At 35.6% G+C, this 24,919-nt stretch overlaps 1 pseudogene across 1 annotated transcript in view; it reads left to right on the top strand.

The window, feature by feature from the left end:
* GUSBP2 (GUSB pseudogene 2) overlaps nt 1-24,919 on the top strand; it is an 85,068-nt pseudogene that overhangs the window by 10,190 nt on the left and 49,959 nt on the right. The window contains exon 3 of the transcript NR_003504.3: nt 21,090-21,245. The product of NR_003504.3 is annotated as a GUSB pseudogene 2 (transcript). The remainder of the gene's footprint in view (nt 1-21,089; nt 21,246-24,919) is intronic.

Genomic DNA, 24,919 nt, shown 5'->3' with positions numbered 1-24,919 from the left:
AGACTTCTTTGTCTTCTGATAGGAGCTTCACCATGGTAACTTAGATTTTACAGATAATTTGTCTTTTGACTTGATAGGACACTAGTCCTCGTTAAGTCATATAGTGGCCTAAGGGAGAGAACTGCACGTCATGAAACATCCTGAACTCTAAGTTGTAGGCAGTAACTGGGCAAAACTTTAAGTTGTTTACAGAGTGAAGAGAAGTGAATTTTTCACATATAAAGAAGTGTGCAAATTGTATTTCATGAGTAGTCTTTTGTCTTCTGGAATGGTGATATATACAAAGTAATCTGGGAAGATACAATTTGATAATAGTAGATCCTTCATTAACTTGAATTATGTTTTGCAGGAAAGATGCTTCTTTAGCCAAAATTACTTATGGTAAACTGATATGTAAGCAAGAAATCACCTTCTACTTGGTTTAAGCCATTCAGTGTACTCTCTAGATAGATATGACACAAAGCTAGCATTATAATACAGTAAACCAAGTGTTAATGTAATTTTATGTTGATTTTGACTACATTCTGAAAATAATAAAAGTCATCTGATATTTTAGGCTTACGATATGAACTTGGTACTATGATAGGTGTTTGAAATGTTTATCTCATTTGATTCTTAGAACAAACTTATATTGTGGGTACTAATACAGTACTGATTTTTTAAATAAGAAAAAGGATTGCAAAAAATGTAAAAAGTCTTATTAAAAAGTACAAAATTCTATCTCCAAATGTGTAATGAATTTTATATAGTCAGTTAATATTTGTTTAGCTCAATAAAGTAATGTTTGGTGTAATAGTTGATTTCTTTAATGTTCATTGAGAATCACCACATTATCAATTTGAAATTAATTCACCTATTCGAAGAAGTTGCTTCCTCCAGTTAAGACAGTATAGTAAGCAAAATAATGGTTTACAAAACAAACAAACCAAGAACAACAACAAAAAACCACATGTCCTGATTTCTGGAACCTGTGAATATGTTAACTTTATCTGGTAAAAGGGGCTTTGCAAGTATTATAATGTTAAGGATGGTAAGATGAAAAACTGTCCTTTTGAGTTCAGTGTAATCAAATGGGTTTAAAATAGGGAAACATTCTTGGCTAGAAACATAAGGTGATATGATTTCAAAAGAATGGTCAGAGAGATACAGCATTTCTGGTTTGAACAAATGAAAGACCACAAGCTAACAAATCAGGACAGCCTCTAGAGGCTGGAAAAGTCAAGGAAACTGATTTTCCCCTAAAACCTTCAGAAAGGAACACAACAGTTCTCACTCTTTGATTTTAGCCTCATAAGATGCATGTCAGACATCTGACAAACACAATTGTTTGACACTATATTTGTGCTATTTTAAACCACTAACTTTGTAGTAATTTGCTACAGCAGCAGTAAGAAAATAATGCAGAGTGTTTCTATAATGGAGATAAAAGTATAAACAAGAGGCAAGGATTTCCTTCCTTCACAGTGTTTATAATATACTAAGAAAACAAACATTAAATACACAGGGCCCCGATAGATTATTCCACTTTAATTTTAGCTGGCACTGTGGAAGGAAAATAGAAATTCTAGAATATAGTGAATAGGAATATAACTTATTCTTATGTGGGAAGAAATGCTTATTACTGAATACTATTTGGGCTGAAAATAAATGCACTGTAGTTACAGTAAGTACAGTAAAAAAGGTAGTTTGCTATAAGGGAACAGGGCCATTGAAATGTAATGAAAGTCATCAAAGTTTTAGGCATTAACTATAAGTTGCAAGGAGTTAAACAATTATAAGCAGTCCGATTATTAAAAAAATATGTGCCTGATTCTCAAAATCACAAGTGTTCTTTAAGATTGCTAACCGTAGTAGTCAATTTTCACAGTGATATAAAGAATGACTTGAGACTGAGTAATTTATGAAGAAGAGAGATTTAATTGATTCATAGTTCTTCAGGCTTTACAGGAAGCATGAATGGGAGGACTCAGGAAACTCAGAAAATCATGGTGGAAGGCAAAGGGGAAACGAGGTTCTTCTTGACATGGCACCAGGAGAGAGAGAGCACAAGGAGGGAAGTGCCACACACTTTTAAACCATCAGATCTCTTGGAACTCACTCACTATCATGAGAATAGCATGCGGAAATCTGCTCCCATGATCCAGTCACCTCCACCCAGGCCCCTCTCTTGACATGAGGGGATTACAATTTGAGATGAGATTTGGGTGGGGACAGAGGGCCAAGCCATATGATTTCTCCTCTGGCCCCTCCCAAGTGTCATGTCCTTCTTCTCACATTTCAAAACCAATCATGCCTTCCCAACAGACTGAAAGTCTTAACTTATTCCAGCATTAACTCAAAAGTGCATGTCCAAAGTTTCATCTGAGACAAGGCAAATCCCTTCTGCCTATAAGCCTGTAAAATCAAAAACAAGTTAGTTAATTTCAAGATACAGTGGGGGTACAGGGGTCAGGTAAACACTCCAATTCCATAAGGGAGAAATTAGCCAAAACAAAGGGTCTGCAGGCCCCATGCAAGTCCAAAACCCGACAAGGCAGTCATTAAATCTTAAGGCTCTGAAACAATCTTCTTTGACCTCATCTCTCACGTCCAGAGCATACTGATGCAATATCTGGGCTCCCATGAGCTTTGACAGCTCTGCCTCTGTGGCTCTGCAAGGCACAGCCCCCACAGCTGCTTTCACAGGCTAGGATTGAGTGCCTGTGACTTTTCCAGGCACACTGTGCAAACTGTCAGTGGATCTACCATTCTGGGGTCTGAAGCACTATGACCCTCTTCTCAAAGCTCCAGTAGGGAGTGCCCCAGTGGGGAATCTGTGTGGGGGCTCCAACCCCACATTTTCCCTCTGCACTGCCCTAGTAGAGGTTCTCCATAAGGGCTCCACTTCTGCAGCAGACTTTTGCCTAGACATCCAGGCATTTCCATACATCCTCTGAAATCTAGATGGAGGTTCCCAAACCTCAACTCTTCCCTTCTGCACAACCACAGGCCCAGCCTCATGTGGAAGCCACCAAAGCTTGAGGCTTGTATTCTCTGAAGCAATGGCCTGAGTAGTGCCTTGGTCCCTTTTAGCCACAGTTGGAGCTGAGCAGCTGGAACACTGGGCACCATGTCCCGAGGCTGCCCAGAGCAGCAGGGCCCTGGGCCCAGCCCACTGAACAATTTCTCCCTCCTAGGCCTCCAGGCTTATAATGGGAGGGGCTGCCTCAAAGGTCTCTGAAATGTACTGGAGACATATTCCACATTGTCTTTGCTATTAACATTTGGCTCCTCTTTACTTATGCAAATTTTTGCTTGAATTTCTCCCAAGAGCATGGGTTTTTCTTTTTTACTATATGGTTAGGCTGCAAATTTTCCAAACTTGTATGCTCTGCTTTCCTTTTAAATATACGTTTTAGTTTCAAGCCATCTCTTTCTTCATGGACATGAGCATAAACTTTTAGAAGCAGCCAGGCCACATGTTAGAAGGTCTGTTGCTTAGAAATTTATTTCACCAGATACCCTAAATCATCTCTCTCAAGTTCAACATTACACAGATCTCTAGGGCCGGGTCAAAATGCTATCAGTCTCCTTGCTAAAGCATAGCAAGAGTAACTTTTTCTTCAGTTCTCAGTGAGTTCCTCATCTCCATCTGAGACCCCCTCAGCCTGGACTTCGTTATCCAAATCATTATCGGCATTTTGTTCACAACCATTCAACAGGTCTCTAGGAAGATTTAAACTTTCCCACATCTCCCTGTCTTCTTCTGAGTCCTCCAAACTGTTTCCTACCTCTGCCTGTTACCCAGTTCCAAAGTTACTTCCATATTTTCAGGTATTTTTATAGCAATGCCCCACTTCTGTGGTACCAATTTTCTGTATTTATCTCTTCTCAAACTGCTATAAAGAACTACTGGGTAATTTATGAGGCAAAGAGGTTTAATTGACTCACAGTTCTGCAAGCTTAACAGGAAGCATGACTGGGAGGCCTCAGGAAACTAACAATCATGGCAGAAGGTAAAGGGGGAGCAGGCGCCTTCTTCACATGGTGTCAGTAGAGAGAAGAGCCAGGGGGAAGTTCCACACACTTTTAAACCATCAGATCTTGTGAGAACTCACTGACTGTCACGAGAACAGTATGGGAAATCCACCCCCATGATCAAATCACCTCCTACCAGACCCCTCCCCTGACACGTGGGGATTACGATTCAACATGAGATTTGTGTGGGGACACAGAGCCAAACTATATCACTAACCTAGTAAGTGCTTATCTTGATTAAATTGTATGGAAAACTACAACTTAAATTATGTGATCAGAAATTCTATCTAATGATAGACATTAATTCAAATGCCACCATGTTCTCCTGTCAGCTTCTCATATATTGTCATGGATATGATTTAATTGTCCTTCAGTGTCATGGAACACATCCTGAGATTCAGCTGATGAAGTTGCAAACTGGATAAATATAAATAATGATGTTTCAAAAAAGAAAATCCTCACTTAGTAAAAAAATGTTAGGTTTATTTTACACTTTCTTGACAGCTGAACTAATATAAAAAGCACTCACCTTGTTTCTTTCAGTTTTGTGTATGTTTTGATTGTGTCAGCTGAGTTCTTCAAGGGATTTTCTGTGTGTCAGAGACACTTGTCCCCCATTCTGTTTTCCTGTGTAATCTCAAAATTGACAAGGGTCTTCACTGTATGTGAAAAGGATGTCTGTGTTGCTTGATTTTATGTGTGACTACTGTTTGCGATTGTCCTTTTCCCAATATGACATGTAATTTTACAGCACAGATAATTTTTCAAAAGAATTACATTCCCAGGCTTAGCAGAGGGAGCGGCCTACTTATTGAAATGTGAAATCGAATCTCTGAAACAGAAACACCAAATTCTTATACTAATCTGTAAAGTAGCTATAAAATGTTATTTTTCAGAGTGAAGTATCTGTCAAGATGGCTAGTTTTGGTGTATAATAGAAATGGTATTTTATTCCTTTTATTTCTGTAAACAGATTAAGTCTGTGTGTGTGTGTGTGTGTGTGTGTGTGTGTGTGTGTGCACGTGCGTGTGTGTGTGTGTGTGTACATGGGATATAATACAAATCTACCTCGACTTATAATGAGTTACATCCTGATAACCACAGGCCAAGATGTGTTATGATGGATCTGGATATACTCATAAGTTGAAAATATTTTAGGTAAAAAATGCATTTAGTACATTTAACAAAAATAGTGGCAAACCGAGTCCAGCAGCACATCAAAAAGCTTATCCACCAAGATCAAGTTGGCTTCATCCATGGGATGCAAGACTGGTTCGACATACGCAAGTCAATAAATGTAATCCATCACATAAAGAGAACCAAAGACAAAAACCACATGATTATCTCAATAGATGCAGAAAAGGTCTTTGACAAAATTCAATAGCCCTTCATGCTAAAAACTCTCAATAAACTAGGTATTGATGGAACATATCTCAAAATAATAAGAGCTATATATGACAAACCCACAGCCAGTATCATACTGAATGGGCAAAAACTGGAAGCTTTCCCTTTGAAAACTAGCACAAGACAGCGATGCCCTCTCTCACCACTCCTATTCAACATAGTGTTGGAAGTTCTGGCCAGGGCAGTCAGGCAAGAGAAAGAAATAAAGGGTATTCTAGTAGGAAAAGAGGAAGTCAAATTGTCCCTGTTTGTAGATGATGTGATTGTATATTTAGAAAACCCCATCATCTCAGCCCAAAATCTCCTTAAGCTGATGAGCAACTTCAGCAAAGTCTCAGGTTACAAAATCAATGTGCAAAAATCACACGCATTTGTATACACCAATAACAGACAATCAGAGAGCCAAATCATGAGTGAACTCCCATTCACAATTGCTACAAAGAGAATAAAATACCTAGGAATCCAACTTACAAGGGATGTGAAGGACCTCTTTAAGGAAAACTACGAACCACTGCTCAACGAAATAAAAGAGGGCACAAACAAATGGAAGAACATTCCATGCTCATGGGTAGGAAGAATCAATATCGTGAAAATGGCCATACTGCCCAAGGTAATTTATAGATTCAGTGCCATCCCCATCAAGCTACCAATGACTTTCTTCACAGAATTGGAAAAAACTACTTTAAAGTTCATATGGAATCAAAAAAAGAGCCCATATTGCCAAGACAATCCTAAGCAAAAAGAACAAAGCTGGAGGCATCATGCAACCTGACTTCAAACTATACTACAAGGCTACAGTAACAAAAACAGCATTTTACTGGTACCAAAACAGAGATATAGACCAATGGAATGGAACAGAGGCCTCAGAAATAACACTAAACATCTACAACCATCTGATGTTTGACAAACCTGACAAAAACAAGAAATGGGAAAAGGATTCCCTGTTTAATAAATGGTACTGGCTAGCCATATGTAGAAAGCTGAAACTGGATCCCTTCCTTCACCTTATAGAAAAATTAATTCAAGATGGATTAAAGACTTAAATGTTAGACCTAAAACCATAAAAACCCTAGAAGAAAACCTAGGCAATACCATCCAGGACATAGGCATGGGCAAGGACTTCATGACTAAAACATCAAAAGCAATGGCAACAAAAGCCAAAATAGACAAATGGGGTCTAATTAAACTAAAGAGCTTCTGCACAGCAAAAGAAACTACCATCAGAGCGAACAGGCAACCTACAGAATGGGAGAAAATTTTTGCAATCTACCCATTTGACAAAGAGCTAATATCCAGAGTCTACAAAGAACTTAAACAAATTTACAAGAAAAAATCAAACAAACCCATCAAAAAGTGGACAAAGGATATGAACAGACACTTTTCAAAAGAAGACATTTATGCAGCCAACAGACACATGAACAAATGCTCATCATCACTGGTCATCAGAGAAATGCAAATCAAAACCACAATGAGATAGCATCTCACACCAGTTAGAATGGTGATCATTAAACAGTCGGGAAACAACAGGTGCTGGAGAGGATGTGGAGAAATAGGAATGCTTTTACACTGTTTGTGGGAGTGTAAACTAGTTCAACCATTGTGGGAGTCAGTGTGGCAATTCCTCAAGTATCTAGAACTAGAAATACCATTTGACCCAGTGATCCCATTACTGGGTATATACCCAAAGCATTATAAATCATGCTGCTATAAAGACACATGCACAGGTATGTTTATTGCGGCACTATTCAACCCAAATGTCCATCAATGATAGACTGGATTAAGAAAATGTGGCATATGTACACCATGGAATACTATGCTGGCATAAAAAATGATGAGTTCATGTCCTTTGTAGTGACATGGATGAAGCTGGAAACCATCATTCTGAGCAAACCTTCGCAAGGACAGAGACCCAAACACCGTGTGTTCTCACTCATAGGTGGGAACTGAACAATGAGAACACTTGGACACAGAGTGGGTAACATCACATGCTGGGGCCTATTGTGGGGTGGGGGGATGGGGTAGGGATAGCATTAGGAGAAATACCTAATGTAGATAATGAGTTAATGGGTGCAGCAAACCAACATGGCACATGTATACATATGTAACAAACCTGCAAGTTGTGCACATGTGCCCTAGAACTTAAAGTGTTAAACAAAAATACACTTAAGAAATGTGCTCAGAACACTTACATTAGCCAGTCCAAAAAAAAATATCTAACATAAAGCCTATTTTTAAATAAAGTGTTGAATATCACATGTACATTATTAAATACTGAATGTGAAAAACGGAATGGGTATATGGGTAATAAAAGTATTGTTTCTACTGAATGTTTACCACTTTTGTACCATGATAAAGCTGTAAAGTTGTACCATTGTAAATCTGGGACCATCTGTGTTACATTCAAGAGAAAAGCTCAGTCGAACTAATAAATAAATCACAATTTCTTTTGATTATTTAGGTGTTTTTTCCTGTTAGATAATTAAGACATCCAATTATTGCTTGCTGCTTCACCACACAGACCATACACAGATACAAATACACACTCCATGAATGAGCATATGTGCTTGTTTAAAGAGACATACTAACCAAACAGTTGTATGCTGCCATGATATTGATTGTGTCGTGAAGTTCCTTATTTAACAAAACACAGCTGTGTATGAAGTATTTCTCTAAAATGTACATTCAATAGCAACTGGTTTTGTTCAGTCTTATGTACCCATATTATTTAAATGAGCACCTGGAGTCTAGAATTACTAAAAAATATCTATGTTGATGCATATTAAGTTGATTTTGAAGTCATAAATTTTGACAAGAATTGATACTATGGCACAATCATAACTTTACAAAAGATGACCTGAACTAACATTATTTTATGCTTTTGCCAGTGGACCTCCCTGAAATATATTCAGATAATTTGTTATTAAAGCAAAACTAAGTTTATCGAAACCCTGTGCCAAGAAAGTACACCATTTTGACATACTTTTGCAGTGTTTCAGCAGGGAACAGTGAGAGGAAGATTTTTCATGTTTGTGGAGAATGGCTTAAGAGAGTTAAATGAGTCTTTCAAGTGAGTAGCTGATTGAAATTGAGCTAAACTTAGAGCATAATAGTTTAGATAGTCTAAGAAATTGAAAAAAAAGTTGATGCCAAGCATACAAGAGATAACACCACCAAAAAATAGACCTAAATACAGACAAAATTAGATTAAAAACAAGAATATGTTCAATGTTAATAAAAGCAGAAGGAACATAGACATAGTTATGGAGGAGTTTTGTTTTGTTTTGTTTTAATAAGATAAAAATATGGTTAGTTTTATACCAATACACTTGGAAATCTGGATCAATTCTGTCCACTACAGTCATTACTAGTGACATGTAGATATTGAACACTTGAAATATGGTGAATTTGAATTGATTTATGCTATATGTAAGATACAAACTAGATTTAGTTTAAAAAATGTAAAACGGAATAATTTTAACATTGTTTTATGCTGAGATGACAATATTTTGGATATACTGGATTAAGTAAATATAAAATATTTTAAAAAATCAAGTTATATAGTAAAATTGGTCTTTTTGTTTTACTTTTTTATTTTGTTTTGGTTTCTGAAGGGATAGAAATCATGGCTAAGATGGACCCTGGGGCATATCATTGACCATCATGAAACATGCACTGATTTGCCAAATGTATTATTTTCCTGTGGCTGTTATAAAAATTACAATACACTTAGTAGTTTAAAACAACATAAATTTATTGTCTAGCAGTATTCCAGGTTAGAAGTTCAGCACAGGTCTTACTGATTTAAAATCAAAGCACTGGAAGACTGCATTCCTTCTATAGGCTCTGTGGAATAATCCATGACCCGGCCTTTCCCAGGCTTTAGAATCCAGCTGCATTCTCTGATGCATGTTCCCTGTCTTGGGCAGCTTGGAATACTGTAAGAAAATACCGTAGACCGGGTGACTTAAACAACAGACATTTATTTCTCAGAGTTCTGAAAGTTGGGAAGTCCAAGATTAAGGTGCTGGTATATTTGGTTCATGGGGAGGGCCCACTCCCTCTCTGGTTAGTAGATGGCCTCCTTCTCTCTCTGTTCACATGGCCTTTCCTGGATACATGTTTATGGAGAGAGAAAGAGAAGGGTGGTTGGGTGGGAGGTGGTCTCGTATCTCCACCTTTTCTTATAAGAACACTAACATTATCATGAGAACACCACACTTATGACATTATCTCAACCTAGGTTCCTCCCAAAAGCTCCATCTCCAGATACTATCACACTGCCAATTAATAGATTATTGAAAATAATCTATTAATATTTGAACAATGCCAATCATCTTCAATAGATTAATTTTAGGGAGACACGAATATTCGGTTCATAACAGTTCCTTTCCTTCACCTTCAAAGCTACAAATGAAGGAGCAAGTCTTCACATTCTCCTTTTATATCTCCCTCTTCTACATGTAAAGAATCTTATGATTGCATTTGGCCATCTAAAAATCTATGATAGTCTCTCCATTTCAAAATCCTTAACTCTAATTGCATTTGCAAACTCTGTCCTGCCAGGTAAGCTAACAAATTTATAAATTATCTGGATTAGGACCCCATCATCTCTGAAGAGCCATTATTCCGACTACCACATCAATATGTTAGTTTATGTCAAGATTGCTGTAATAATCAATAGGTTCTGGTACCACAAATCCAGTAGCAGTCATTAAGGTTGATTGAGTTTATTGATTGCTTTCAGCTCCATTCTGCTGTTAATCACTTTTGGGGATATAAAATGAAGACCTTATCACATAGAGGAAGAGGTAGATGTGATAGGAGCTTGAATATGTAATAAGAATTTTTTATGATATGTAAATGTGAGAAATGAATTAAGTATGTGCCATTTGTTCTCTTCTTTTTAAGACATTTCTTTCTAAAGGTTTAGTGACAGAAGTTGCATTCTATTAAAGATCCCTAAGTGCTGTTCTGCTGTAGGCATAAGCTTTGTTTCCTGGGTGCAGCATGTTAGGATTTAAGATTTCTATTTATCTAATACTCTGCTGTTTGTCAGATAAAATAACAATAAATAGTGAGTCCAATTATTGATAAACCCAGATGTTTCATATTTAGGAATCGATGTTAAGAAAAAAAAACTCTAATTGGCATCCTAAGGAAAATGTGTGCAGCTTAGCACTGATTCAACTGCATGTTTAGCCAAATTGTGAACAAATTACGGCCAGCTTCCGGACTCTTCTAGAGAGTGACTAAGGACGGCATAGAGGAATTAGGAATAGTAGCTTTATAGGTAAAGTAATTAAATGTAACCTTAAGCATAAAAAGATAAAAAAAAGTTAACTAGGAAAATGAAAACTCAAGATATACAGATTAAATATGACAAACAATGGATCTTTTTATGTGGATCTTGGTTTGCAGATACCGATATCTCATATAGTGATTCACTTGATCCAAAGGCATTTGATGGAAGCTGTCTTCTCCCAAAGACTATTTGCTTTTGGAAGAATCCTAAGAGTCATTAGTTAGAAGTTTTTGGTAGGGATACTTTCCTGTAACATGAAGATGACCTAAACCTCTTTACTTGAGAGATAGGAATCAAAGGATCAGTCTTTTAAAGACTGTGGGTTTGCTAGTTGTTAGCTGTGCCTGATATTGACTTTTTTCCTATGATCTTTCTCTGCCGTGTCTCTTACAAGACAAGGTATCCAGGTATGAAAACCAATTTTGCAGACATTGTTTAGGATACTAATGGGGAAAGTCTTCAGTAACTTTTGTTGAAAGAATGGATTTCCTGAGTCCTTACAGCATTTAGTTAAATAAGTGTAGATTTCTAGAATCAGAGCTAATATTCCTAGACACTTGGTTTAGCTGTTACTAACTCATGAACCGCAGAAAGAAGAAATACCTTAGACCATGCAAGTTGGACGATCTCTGTGAACTTTACCAACTTTAGTTTCAGAATTCCATCTTTCTACCTTCCCAAAAGGTTGAAAGTGATATGGACAGTGAAGTCTGATTAATTGGCAAAACTTTTCCATGTTAGTTAATAAAAATTCCAGTAAAATGGTTTCCTTGTTACTAGAGATATAGTTTGGGATTCCCCAGGCTGAAAAAAAAAAAAAAAGGATTTTCTCCATGCCAACAAGAGACAAATAGTGATCAGAACATATTTAAAATCTATTGCCAGCACTTGTTATGAAAAATTCATTTAGATTTTTACTGAGACATTTTACAGTTTTGCTAGGATTAATCTGACGAAGGTTGAGACAAGTTGTAAGGATATAGTTATATAAAGATATACTTACCAATTTTAGCAAAATTTTCCCCCAGCTATTGGTTAAATACATTGGTCAATTTGTCCTCATTGTGCCAGAAAAGCTCAGCAGTTTTGACTAAAGTTTATGTTAACCCATTGCCAGTAGAATGAAAGAGTTGAATCCTCTCTTAAATTATAATATATAGTTGACTCCTCAACAACACAGGTTTGAACTGTGCAGGTCTGCTCATATGTAGATTTTTTCCTATAAATATATTAGAAAATTTTTGGAGATTTATGAAAAATTGAAAAAGATAACAGGTGACCCATCTACACGAGAAATATTAAAAAACTAAGGAAATGATAAGTCATGAATGCATAAATTATATGTAGATACTAGTGATCATTTAATACAATGAAATATATATGCATCTATTATAAAAAGTTAAAATTTATCAAGATGTAGGCACACACAGAGCATACATGCAGCCAATTGAAGTTTAGAGAAAAGTAAAACAAAAATACACAAAAGTAAATCATAACTGCACAAAATTAACTGCAGTACATACTGTACTACTGGGATAATTTCCTAGCCTCCACCTGTTGTTCTTGCAGTGAACTCAAGTGTTGTGAGTATTCACTTAAAATGCCACATAATGCTAATCATCTTCTTGTGAGTAGCTTGTCTCTCCAGTAAATTAACACAGTAAAAAGTGATCTCTCATGTTTCTCCTGTATTATTCATGATGTCTAGTGCAATACCATAAACCTTGAATAACACCTTCAGACCTGTAGAAAGTGCTGCTAGTGATGCTGAAAGTTCTTCCAGGAAACAGAGAAGGGTCCTGACATTACAGGAAAAAAATGAATTGCTTGATAGGTACCCTAGGTTGAGGTCTGCAGCTGTGTGTGCCGCCATTTCAGAAGAAGGATCCATCTTGTAAACACAGGATTGTAAACTTATGAGAGAAATAAATATACTGTAGTACTGTAAACGTATTTTTTCTTCCCTATAATTTTCTTAATAACACTTTCTTTTCTGTAACTAGCTTCATTGTAAAACTACAGTGTAAAATACATACAGCATACGAAATATGTGTTAAGGATTGTCCAGTCAACAGTTAGGCTCTTAGTTTAGTTTTGGGGAGTCCAAAGTTATATGTGAGTTTTTGACTGTGCTGGGGTGGTGGGGAGGGGTTAGGGAGGTTTGATGCCCCTAAACCTTGTGTTGTTCAGGAGTCAACTGTACAATTTAGAAGAATATGATTTAGAATTTCCCTGAGATTAAGAACATATTAAATGGTGGGAAGGATATTGATAGACCTCTAGATCTAGTGACACTATCAACTTTGACTGTGTCTGTTTGATGAAGGAATTAAAATCTAGTAACAAAAGCATTTTGTAGATAGTTATCGTACCAGTCTTTGTTCTTGAACATCAGTGTGTTTTTATGAACTGAAAATCACACATTGAATGAAAGGCTTCATCTCAATATATTTTATTTACACATAAATTTGAGCTGTTTTTTGTTCACAAGTTTGGCCGATAAAAGAGCCCTCACAATAGCTTTAATTACCATTTAAAATAACAAATTAATGGGATTTTTAAATTTTTCTCTCTTTTGTAGGGTGAAGGAGCAATGCTTTTGGTTACTCAGTATTCTCTCAAGAAAATTTAAAGATAGTTTATACATAGAAGATATTTTAACAGGTTATATTCTGAACTTGTGGCACGGATTTGGAAAAAGCAATATCAAGTATGGTTCAAGGGGACAAGAAAGAGAGAAGCATTTGTTACCATTTTTCAAAGTCAAAAATATTTAATCAGATAATATTTTAAAAGCCAGCAATAATTAGTGATGATTGGTATAATGTTTTTGTCAAAATTATTAAATAGGAGATAAAATTAAAAGCTTTATTTTTTTGCATTCAAATAAAATTTTAAATATTTTGATGAGCATATTAAATCAACAATGCATGTATTACATTGAACCTGACTTCTTAATAAGTTGCAACCAAATCTTTAATGATAAATTTAGGTCAGAGAGAGAATTTTGAGATTTGTCACCATAAAGATAGGGTATAATGTGATGTAAATAATTAAGATCAGGTGGAAAGACAAATAAGATTGAAGGAAGACCCAAGACCAAGGTTTGGGGCACTCTCAGAATTTCTAAAAAAAAATTTAGACTATGAGTAAAGAAGGATTCATCAGCAAGGTGAAATGGATCAAGGAAATGTGGGCACTCAGAGGTACAGAGGGGTTAATTGCTGCCCAGAAAATACTCAGACGAATGCTGAACAATAAATTAGATAGAACAGATGTCCTAGAAATCATGAAGATAAGTCACTTTATTAAAATACATGTTATAAACAAAGAAGGAATTTACTGTTCGAAAAGTTGTCTTGAAGAATTGTTTTGGGAGAAAATAAAAAATAAACCTTATTTTCTAAAATACACTAAAACTAATTCCAAATGAATCAAAGGATTGTGTACAGATATTTTAAATTAATAAAACAATGTTAGTGCAGATTCTCTTTAATTACTTCCCTGATTGTTTTACCTATAGTAACTCATTTAATTCTACTAGCAATCTTTTCATGTTGGATACAGCTATTCAAATTTTCTTTTGTTATTGCAATAGCCTCCTAACCATTCTTCCACAAAATTGGGGCACTAAAAGGTTGTGAAATTTCCTCTATGCCACAGAGCTATTTAGTGATGATTTGGCATTTGGAAGCACATAATCTGTCTTTGAAATGTTCATTTTTCTCTGATGGCCAGTGATGGTGAGCATTTCTTCATGTGTTTTTTGGCTGCATAAATATCTTCTTTTGAGAAGTGTCTGTTCATGTCCTTCACCCACTTTTTGATGGGGTTGTTTGTTTTTTTCTTGTAAATTTGTTTGAGTTCAGTGTAGATTCTGGATATTAGCCCTTTGTCAGATGAGTAGATTGCGAAAATTTTCTCCCATTTTGTAGGCTGCCTGTTCACTCTGATGGTAGTTTCTTTTGCTGTGCAGAAGCTCTTCAGTTTAATTAGATCCCATTTGTCAATTTTGGCTTTTGTTGCCATTGCTTTTGGTGTTTTAGACATGAAGTCCTTGCCCACGCCTATGTCCTGAATGGTAATGCCTCGGTTTTCTTCTAGGGTTTTTATGGTTTTAGGTCTAATGTTTAAGTCTTTAATCCATCTTGGATTAATTTTTGTATAAGGTGTAAGGAAGGGATCCAGTTTCAGCTTTCTCCATATGGCTAGCCAGTTTTCCCAGCACCATTTATTAAATAGGGAATCCTTTCCCCATTGCTTATTTTTCTCAGGTTTGTCAAAGATGAGATAGTTGTAGATATGCGGCGTTATTTCTGAGGGCTCTGTTCTGTTCCATTGATATATATCTCTGTTTTGGTACCAGTACCATGCTGTCTTGGTTACCGTAGCCTTGTAGTATAGTTTGAAGTCAGGTAGCGTATTGCCTCCAGCTTTGTTCTTTTGGCTTAGGATTGACTTGGCGATGCGGGCTCTCTTTTGGTTCCATACGAACTTTAAAGTAGTTATTTCCAATTCTGTGAAGAAAGTCATTGGTAGCTTGATGGGGATGGCATTGAATCTGTAAATTACCTTGGGCAGTATGGCCATTTTCACGATATTGATTCTTCCTACCCATGAGCATAGAATGTTCTTCTATTTCTTTGTATCCTCTTTTATTTCATTGAGCAGTGGTTTGTAGTTCTTCTTGAAGAGGTCCTTCCCATCCCTTTTAAGTTGGATTCCTAGGTATTTTATTCTCTTTGAAGCAATTGTGAATGGGAGTTCACTCATGATTTGGCTTTCTGTTTGTCTGTTATTGGTGTATAAGAATGCTTGTGATTTTTGTACGTTGATTTTGTATCCTGAGACTTTGCTGAAGTTGCTTATCAGCTTAAGGAGATTTTGGGCTGAGACAGTGGGGTTTTCTAGATATACAATCATGTCATCTGCAAACAGGGACAATTTGACTTCCTCTTTTCCTAATTGAATACCCTTTCTTTCCTTCTCCTGCCTAATTGCCCTGGCCAGAACTTCCAACACTATGTTGAATAGGAGTGGTGAGAGAGGACAAATCAAAACCACAATGAGATACCATCTCACACCAGTTGGAATGGCAATCATTAAAAAGTCAGGAAACAACAGGTGCTGGAGAGGATGTGGAGAAATAGGAACACTTTTACACTGTTGGTGGGACTGTAAACTAGTTCGACCATTGTGGAAGTCAGTGTGGCGATTCCTCAGGGATCTAGAACTAGAAATACCGTTTGACCCAGCCATCCCATTACTGGGTATATACCCAAAGGACTATAAATCGTGATGCTATAAAGACACATGCACACGTATGTTTATTGCGGCACTATTCACAATAGCAAAGCCTTGGAACCAACCCAAATGTCCAACAATGATAGACTGGATTAAGAAAATGTGGCACATATACACCATGGAATACTATGCAGCCATAAAAAATGATGAGTTCATGTCCTTTGTAGGGACATGGATGAAACTGGAAATCATCATTCTCAGTAAACTATCGCAAGGACAAAAAACCTAGGACCGCATGTTCTCACTCATAGGTGGGAATTGAACAATGAGAACACATGGACACAGGAAGGGGAACACCACACGCTGGGGACTGTTGTGGGGTGGGGGGAGGGGGGGGGAGGGATAGCATTAGGAGATATATCTAATGCTAAATGAGGAGTTAATGGGTGCAGCACACCAGCATGGCACATGTATACATATGTAACTAACCTGCACATTGTGCACATGTACCCTAAAACTTGAAGTATAATAATAATAAAATTAAATTAAAAAAAAAGAAATGTTCATTTTTAATTATAGCACTACACCATGCACTGAATCACTGAGGGTAAAAATGCACACTGTTAAGAAGGAGGGAGTCAATCTCATTAGTATTATAATATTTATACTGAATGAGACTCCATTCCCCAAATTTACAGAATTAAAATAATAAAAATAAAAATTTATTGCTAGCCAATTTGCAGCAAAATAGATTCATTCTCATATTCTGCTATGAGAAAATAAATGAAATTAAATTTTAAAAGACATTTTTGGAAAGCCCTTTGAATTAACCAGAAAATTGTTAAATTCGTAGTTTTTTTGACTAACATTCTTCTTCCACGTTAACAGAATTTATATGTAAATGACACTCATTGCATATACTTTTAAGGGGTAAAATAATTACTAAATTTATGTACACTATGAATACTTCATTTTATAAAATTGCATATATACCCACATGCAAATGTGCACAGAATCAATAGGGTAACCATAGACATAAAATGATCAGTGCAGGATATTTTATTTTATTTATGCATTTTATATATAATATACTTTTCATTTAATATTTTTGCTAATTTTATTGAATTGAATATTTATGCCTTGGTTATAGAACAACTAAATTTATTTTCAAAGAAACTCCATTATTATTGTCTGCGAGAGTAAAACTTATAAACAATCTAAAAATTCAACCAAATACAACCATTTACAATTGTGCCCTAGTTGAACATGTAATCATAGGAGAAAACACAGGTGTTGAATTTTTAGAAGTTCATTTAAAAAATAATTGACACAATCCCTAAGGTATCATATAAATTAATTGAATTGTTACTGTCTTGGGCTAACATTTATTTCTAGAGTTTTTTTTCCCCTAATATCTGATTTTTTCCATTAACATTACTTATTTGGATAATCAGAAAAAAATCAGCATTGCCAAAAGATAGATAATACCACAAGCGAAATATCTATAATAATGATAGGAAAATGCTTTGATTCAGGCTGAATGAGAATTAGTCTAGGAAAACAGCTTGGACCCTCTCATTCCTGTTAATGTCATCTCTGTGTTTAGCACTGCTGCTATTCCTCAGCCCCTAAGAAATGCTCTATTGCTGGGCATGGCATATGGGAAGCCAAGAAAAATGACTGGCTGCTTGGTGGCAGCTCTCTAGTCCTCATGCCAAGTTCTGCCAGTGATTTAAATATTAAGTGATGGAAAGAATTTTGAAATCCAGGATGATTAGAAAAGTCATTTTCTACAAAACTGAAGCATTGTCTTTAGAGACTAAAATCTATGAAAATAACATTATTGAAATACTAGACTTGAGACTATTTTTCTGAATTATTGTAACTGTTGAAATAGGTCTTTCAGCCCATTAAGATAAACACCACACTTTTCTCGTCATGATCTTCAGCTGTAATTTTATAGTGAAAGGTACTTGCATAAAAGAGTTCACACTATCTGAAAGATGTCACATGTAACATTGACTGGCAGCCATTTCAGAATGGCAGACAGCCAATAAATCATTCAGAACTATGTGTCACTCGTTGTGGCTTTAAAATTGTATTCCTTCTCCTTTGATAAAGAACATTTCAATGTCAAATAGTTTGTTCTATTTAAACTTATACATCAACCAGAATATTGAGATACACAATAAAATTAAATGATTTGGTAATACCTTTAGAATTTATCTAAAAACAGCCGTATGTATTTGCATGACAGATTTGGTTCACAAACCAATCAAGTTGTTAGTATCAAAGGCATGTTTTAGTGCTGATTTATGTATAGATAAATTTAGGAAATTACATAAATAGAAATACTTCTTTATAAAATTCCTTGACCTTGTGATATCTTGGTATTAAGAAACTTAAAGGAATCATTTTAAAAAATTCAAAAGCAAACAATTTCGATTTTACAAGAGCTAAGAAAAAAACATTTTGCGATGGACACAGATCGCTCTTCAAGAAAAGATTTGTTTCCCCCTTGGCTGCTAGGAGCAATATTACAAAGCAGCCTTCAGCTCTCAGCTCCTTCAAAGTTTGCCTCAGCTGTAACCATTGTCTGGCTCAATGTTAGGTCATCCTGGAGCACTGGACATGCAAACATGAATGGAGATGAGGTATAAAGCCCGGCCATTTTGACGCACCTGAGAGGATTCTGACAGGTCCTTCCAGTGCCTGAGAAACCCAGGGCTCACATGCTTTATATTCTGATCATTCTGTAGGGGTTGTTCCCATGGGTGATAGAAGCTGCCAAATATAAAGAGGCAGCCATGCAAATTTTTAGGAATTATTTCCAAAACTCTCATAACAACATCATATATATTTATTGGTTGTTTAAGTAGATTTCTGAGGAGTAGATAGCAACGATAGAAGTGAAAGAAAGTAAATGCAGTTGTTAAAGGATTAGTCTTCCCATACTTAGAAAGTACACAAGTTGCATATACACTATGTTCCTTCCCTAGAGCAAGTATTTCAATGCAGTCGTGTGTGTGTGTTTGTGTGCTTGTGTGTGTGGTGTGTGTGTGTGTGTGTGTGTGTGTATGTATGCTAACTGAACTCATTGTAGATTTTATTGGATCAGATATATGAAGAGACTTGGAAGACTTGGGTTTGTCTGGAACTGGGTGAAATAGAGAAGGACGATCATTGACATAGAAAGCTCATTACTTTGACCTTTGATTATAAATAGTCTTACAATAAAATGGCATCTCCACTGTCTAAAACACATTTTTACATTTGCTCTCCTTCTGAAATTATTTATGTGAAATTAACAAATCTACTTATTACCTTAGAAACAAACGATCCCTAATTTATATTATTTATTGTATATTTGTAGATCCACTTAAAATTGATTTGCAATATAAGGAAAAAATGCATTTTATAAGTTGTTTGCTTTGTGTAGTGGATCTTGTTAACCGTAGGACTACTGTTGCATTGAAACAAAATAGAATTAATCTGTTCAGGTAAAGAGAACTGGAAGTGAGATTTGTTGTCACTCCTTCTCCTTCAAGTACTGACCAGTCTTTTAATTCACACATAACTAACACTCTGTGCAATAATATTTTTTTGTTCTCTGTCTTTTCAAATAGAACTCAAGCTCCATGAGGAGATGTTTCATTGTCAGTGAGCACATTCTTGTCAATTAGTTCCTTCTTGTTTATTAGTATAGCCCCTGTGTCTAGAACCTTTCCAGGTATTCAGTAGCCATTTAAAAATTATTTGTTGAATGAATTGTTATTTTAAAGAACATCCACAAGTTTTGCCTGACTGGGCATGGGAATACATGCCCATCTTTGGACTGAATGTCCATTTTTCCCTTCTTTTATCAAAATATTGGTTAAATGATCAGGACCACTGTTAGAAGGAATTTTATCTCTAAAAATAGTTTACCTTCTATGGATGTAAAAAAATAGTTGTAGTAGTACTGGCTTTTATATTATTCGATGTTTCAAAGCGGTTTTTTTTTCCATCACAATATTCTACGTTCTTGAAAAGTACTCGTTCATGTGACTGCTATCATTTATGCTTGTGCAGCACGTAGATACAGGAGAGAAGATAAGGAAAATGCTTACCCTGTGTCTCCTTCCCTGTAACACAGTTTTTTTTACCATATTGATTCTCCACTTTCTGCTCCCTAAGTAAAATTTTGCAACAGGCGTTTGGGAAACTCTGGATATAAGAAAAAAATTTTAATATTGTACAAAGAGACAAGAGGTGACTTCTTTTTTATTTTTCATTTAGAGTTTATAGTTTAATTAAAGAAAATGCACATATATCTAAAGATAATCATGGATAATACACTCATATAATTACTACTTTCAGCGGTTATAACAACAGCCAAAGCACAAACAGAAATGAGAAAGGATTATCAGCATTATGCAAATACATATCCTCTTTAAGAATTCCTGTTATAGTGAAAGCATTAAAATAATTGAACACGTACAGAGACCATATACTTTGTGATCTTTTTAAAAAAGTATTCAAAATATATTTCTGTGTGCAAAACATTTTCATAATGATCTTGTTTAAATGAAAGTATTTAGAATAGCACATTGTAAAATTATGCGGCAGAGCACAAGTATTTTTCTCTTTAGAAGACACATAATAAAATAGAATCATCAGTGTTTTTTCATAAACATGAATCTTGAGAGTGCTACTTGATCCTGCATAATAAGGGTACTGTTTTGCTTAATGTAAGCATAGTATACTAATTCTTTTAAAATTCAGAAAGCATATTTACAGTCTAGGCAGATGGGACATGAAGGTCACACAGCATGAGCAGTGAAATATCTCATTTACCTAGAGTTCTGGAGAGAATTTTAGGAACTCTTATTTATTATCAGTGCATAAATAAGAGTAAACTGTACAAAACTGTTTGCAAAACTCTCCTCTTTCTACTCAGAAGGCTTTCCCTAGAATAATCATTATGGACTCTGTCCATCCTTTACTCATGCACTGCATGGGGACAGGTGTTAGTTATGAGATTGGTGAATTTAGAAAGCTAACCAATTTCATACCTATTTTGCGATTCTCAATTCACAAACTTTTGTGCGTTTCTTAATTATTTCCTTTCTTTTTCTTGTAGAGAGCAGTCATGATGGCCTGCACTCCACACAATGCAACAGAGTGAAGGAGCAGGTTCTGGTTCTTTGGTGTAGTCCTGAAGCTTCCTAAGAAAGTTCACATCAGGTGATGGATAGGAGCAACCCTGTAAAACCAGCCTTAGACTATTTTTCAAACAGTAAGTAATAAAGGTGACATTTTGATCTTTATCTGCTTACTTACTTCTGCTATGATTCTATTGATTCTAACATTGAAGGAGCAGTAAATTTATATGTATTATCAAACTATAAAACAATAAATAAACGATATATCAAATACATTATCACATCCTTATGTTCTTATGATAATATTGTCCTTTTTTAACAGTTTTTATTCTTATTTGTTGATTGGTTTGTCTTTATGTTGTCCTTTCTACTATCAAACTGAACATGTTGAGGTCATAGGCTATCAAAACTGTACATTTCTGATGCTAACCATAGAGACTTAACAACAACAGTAAACAGGCCAAAATGGAATGTTGTTAGCCATAGTGTGTATTATTATTTCTTTTATACATTTGGTCACTGTTAGAGGAGTTTATCACTTTTTGCCTAGATTAATGACACACAAACCATCTACAAACGAATCATACCTTATTCCCTCACTGTAATTTTTAATGTTGCTATTTTTGCCTGTTAACATTCCATAGGTTTATCACATTGCTTAAAGATTTAATTTAATTTCTGTATTGTATATGTCATGAGAGATTGCTTTTAACCTTCCAGTGTTCATGGTCTCATTTTCACTAACATAATCCCAACTTTAGCTGCGCACAATACCACATTTCCCAGCATTCCTTGCATCTGGATGTAGCTGTATTAAAATAAGCCGTGGGAAACTTCTGAGATGGCTCCTTAAGTGCAGTTGACTCATTAGGGAGGTATGTCTTTTTTATTTTTCTACACTTTCTGCTGCTGTCCTGGAGTACAGACATGGTGGCTAGAAGCATGAAATCACCTTGAAGATAGAAGTCATGCATTGAAGTTAGTAAAAGAGAAATGGAAGTGTATAGGTTCTTGATGAAAATGGGAAGCTTATGTACTAGCAACAGAATGCTTATTATGCAGGCTTCCTATATGTAAAAGAGGACAAATTCTCATTTTAATTAAGTTTCTGAAGGTAGATTTCTAAATGCTGGTTCTATTTTTTATGGAAAGTAATGGCAAAAAACGCAATGCGTTTTGTACCAACCTAATAGTTAATAAACATATCCTCAAATGAAATGTCTTAGAATTGTATTCATCAAGTTAATATTAATAATTTATTAGAATAGCACTCTAAAAGGTTGCAGCCTGTGCATGAAAACACTTACAAACTGCTACATGATAATCAATTCTTTTTGGCAAGACTGCTATTTACATGGACACAAGAGTTATTATAAGAATGTTGTATGTATACATGAATAGTGTCTGTTAAACACTGGAGATAATAAAAACAATAATTTTTCTGTTAACTATAAAAATCTGAACATTTTTGTGATTATATTTCACAAATGACACACCATTTTATTTGCAGATTTTTCTTATCTCCAAAGTTTTTGTTAATTTATTACCAACACAGCACACAATTCTAGTGGCAATGCATTACCTCTGCAGTTGATTTTGAAGTAAGAAGGCCTATTTATTGCATTCATTCCTGCTTAGATGGCATCTTAAATTCGTTAATTGGATTATTATGCTCTATTCTATACATTTATTGATTTATAGATTTTGTGGACAGAAATTTCAAAACATATTAGAAAATTTAGTGATAGCTTTTTAGAATCTATTCTTCAACATAGTTATTGAAAGTGAACAAGGAGGACCTCCTCTAGAGATTAGGTTGAGAACCACTTGTTTGATTTGTTAAATATGTGTACATGGATACCATGTGGCTTTATTATGAGGAGCCACTTAAGTGGCTGAGTTACAATTCACAAAACGTTGTCACAGGGAAAATATCAGGACAAATTTTCAAGTCGCATGCCAAGAAAAAAAAATCTTTCTAAATGCTTATAAGAAATACCTTAATTAATGGGAGCCCTTCAAAGTACGCAAAACATCATAACTAGGAGTTGCAACACAACCAGCAATTTGCTGATTGAAATGCATTCATTCATACTGACTTCACCTGCTGAATGGAATATTGTGCTGTACTGTCCTTAGCTATGGAGAATTAAGGAATATCCCCTTCTGGTGTTCAACAACAACGAAAGAGCAAGAAAGATATATTCCTAATTTTTAAAGAAGAATGTAGAGATACTTAAACAAGACAATGAAGGTGGTAGAAAGATTATTACCATCCCCAAAGTGTTTGCTCCTTAAAACATTTTGTGATTTTCTCTGCCAATATCATACCTGTATGGATAATTGTTTTACTATCCACACAGTTATGAGAGTGAGAAGATGGAATCTAAAAGATGGAACAAGAGGGAATCTGTGTGGTGACCACAGTAATCACAGGCTGGTTGGGATCCTAAACTCGGCCACAGCACAAAAGCATGTTCAAGTTTAAAGTCATGAGAGAGGCCTGGCATAGTGGCTCACACCTATAATCCCTGCACTTTGGGAGGCCAAGGTGGGAGGATTGCTTGGGGCAAAGAGCTCAAGATCAGCCTGGGCAACACAGTGAGATCCCATCTAAAAAAATGTTCTTTAAGTTAGCCTTATGTGGTGGCATGTTCCTGTGGTATCAGCTACTCAGGTGGCTGAAGTGGGAGGGTCACTTGAGCCTGGAGGTTGAGCCATAATCATGCCACTGCACTCCAGCCTTGGTGACAGAGTAAGACTCTGTCTCCAAAAGTAAAACACAAAACAACACAAAAAGTCAAGTCACAATAAAATGAGATGCTGTTAAGGTTGTTTTCTGTTGATTTTCAACTAGACCAGCATTTAGCCTGTACAAAGGCATATACAAAATAACCCTAAACCTAAATGGGATTCAGCAGCAGCAGTGTGGGTTAAAGAAGCCACCAGTTCCCTGGAGGCCAGAACCACAGGCCTGTGGCCTTTTTTATTGTTTTGACAGGGAGGTGGAAAGCAGGAGTATAACTACATTCAAGTGTCTGCTCTGTTGCTGTATGAGAAAATCCGTGCTGTAGCACATCAGAGTTTTTCCAAAGTTTATTTCTTAGGACATCTTTGGGGTTTATGTAAGTATTTAATAGAGCTCCCCTAGCCCAGGCTTACACAGGACATATGTCTAGTGGCATAGGTCTGTATGCTTAAATTATAGCAGAAAGTTTGCTAAAATTTAAGTGAAGTAATGTTGAAGGTTGAATCGTTTGAAACAAACTACCTGCACCAAAATATTCTTTACTGTACTGATTTCTATCCCACCCCTAATGAGGCTGAATTTTAATCTTAACTCTGCTTGTAATTAGGTATTTATATGTGTCTGTTATTCATTTTTTAACAAGATGTCTCTTCGGAGATAAAATGAGGGTAGCAAAAAATAATTTTCATAGACATTTATATGGCTTTGATAACAATTGTCTGTTCTACTTATTTGACTGATGCTAAACTCTAAAGGTTAATTTACAGTTAGTAAATTACATAATTTTTATGCAACAATTTGCCTGCCAGGATTCCTATAATACTTGTCAGCTATCAGTAGGTATAAGCCTGTTAGCCTCTAATGTGAAGATAATATCTCTTTAAGTTATAATGCATTTACAATTGTTACAGTTTCTAAGGTCTTTTTAAGTTAGAGATGCATCTGAGGATGATGGTTTTCAAGGAGATAGCTCTTTGACAAAAAATGACAATATGGGACTTAGTGTTATATTAATTTACACATTATGTTTTTGCTATAAAGAGATAAAAGGTGTGCTCT

This window comes from Homo sapiens, chromosome 6 (assembly GCF_000001405.40).
Source record: "Homo sapiens chromosome 6, GRCh38.p14 Primary Assembly".
NCBI lineage: Eukaryota > Metazoa > Chordata > Mammalia > Primates > Hominidae > Homo > Homo sapiens.
The sequence above is the reverse complement of the archived record's forward strand: the minus strand, read 5'-3'. Positions and strand labels throughout refer to the sequence as shown.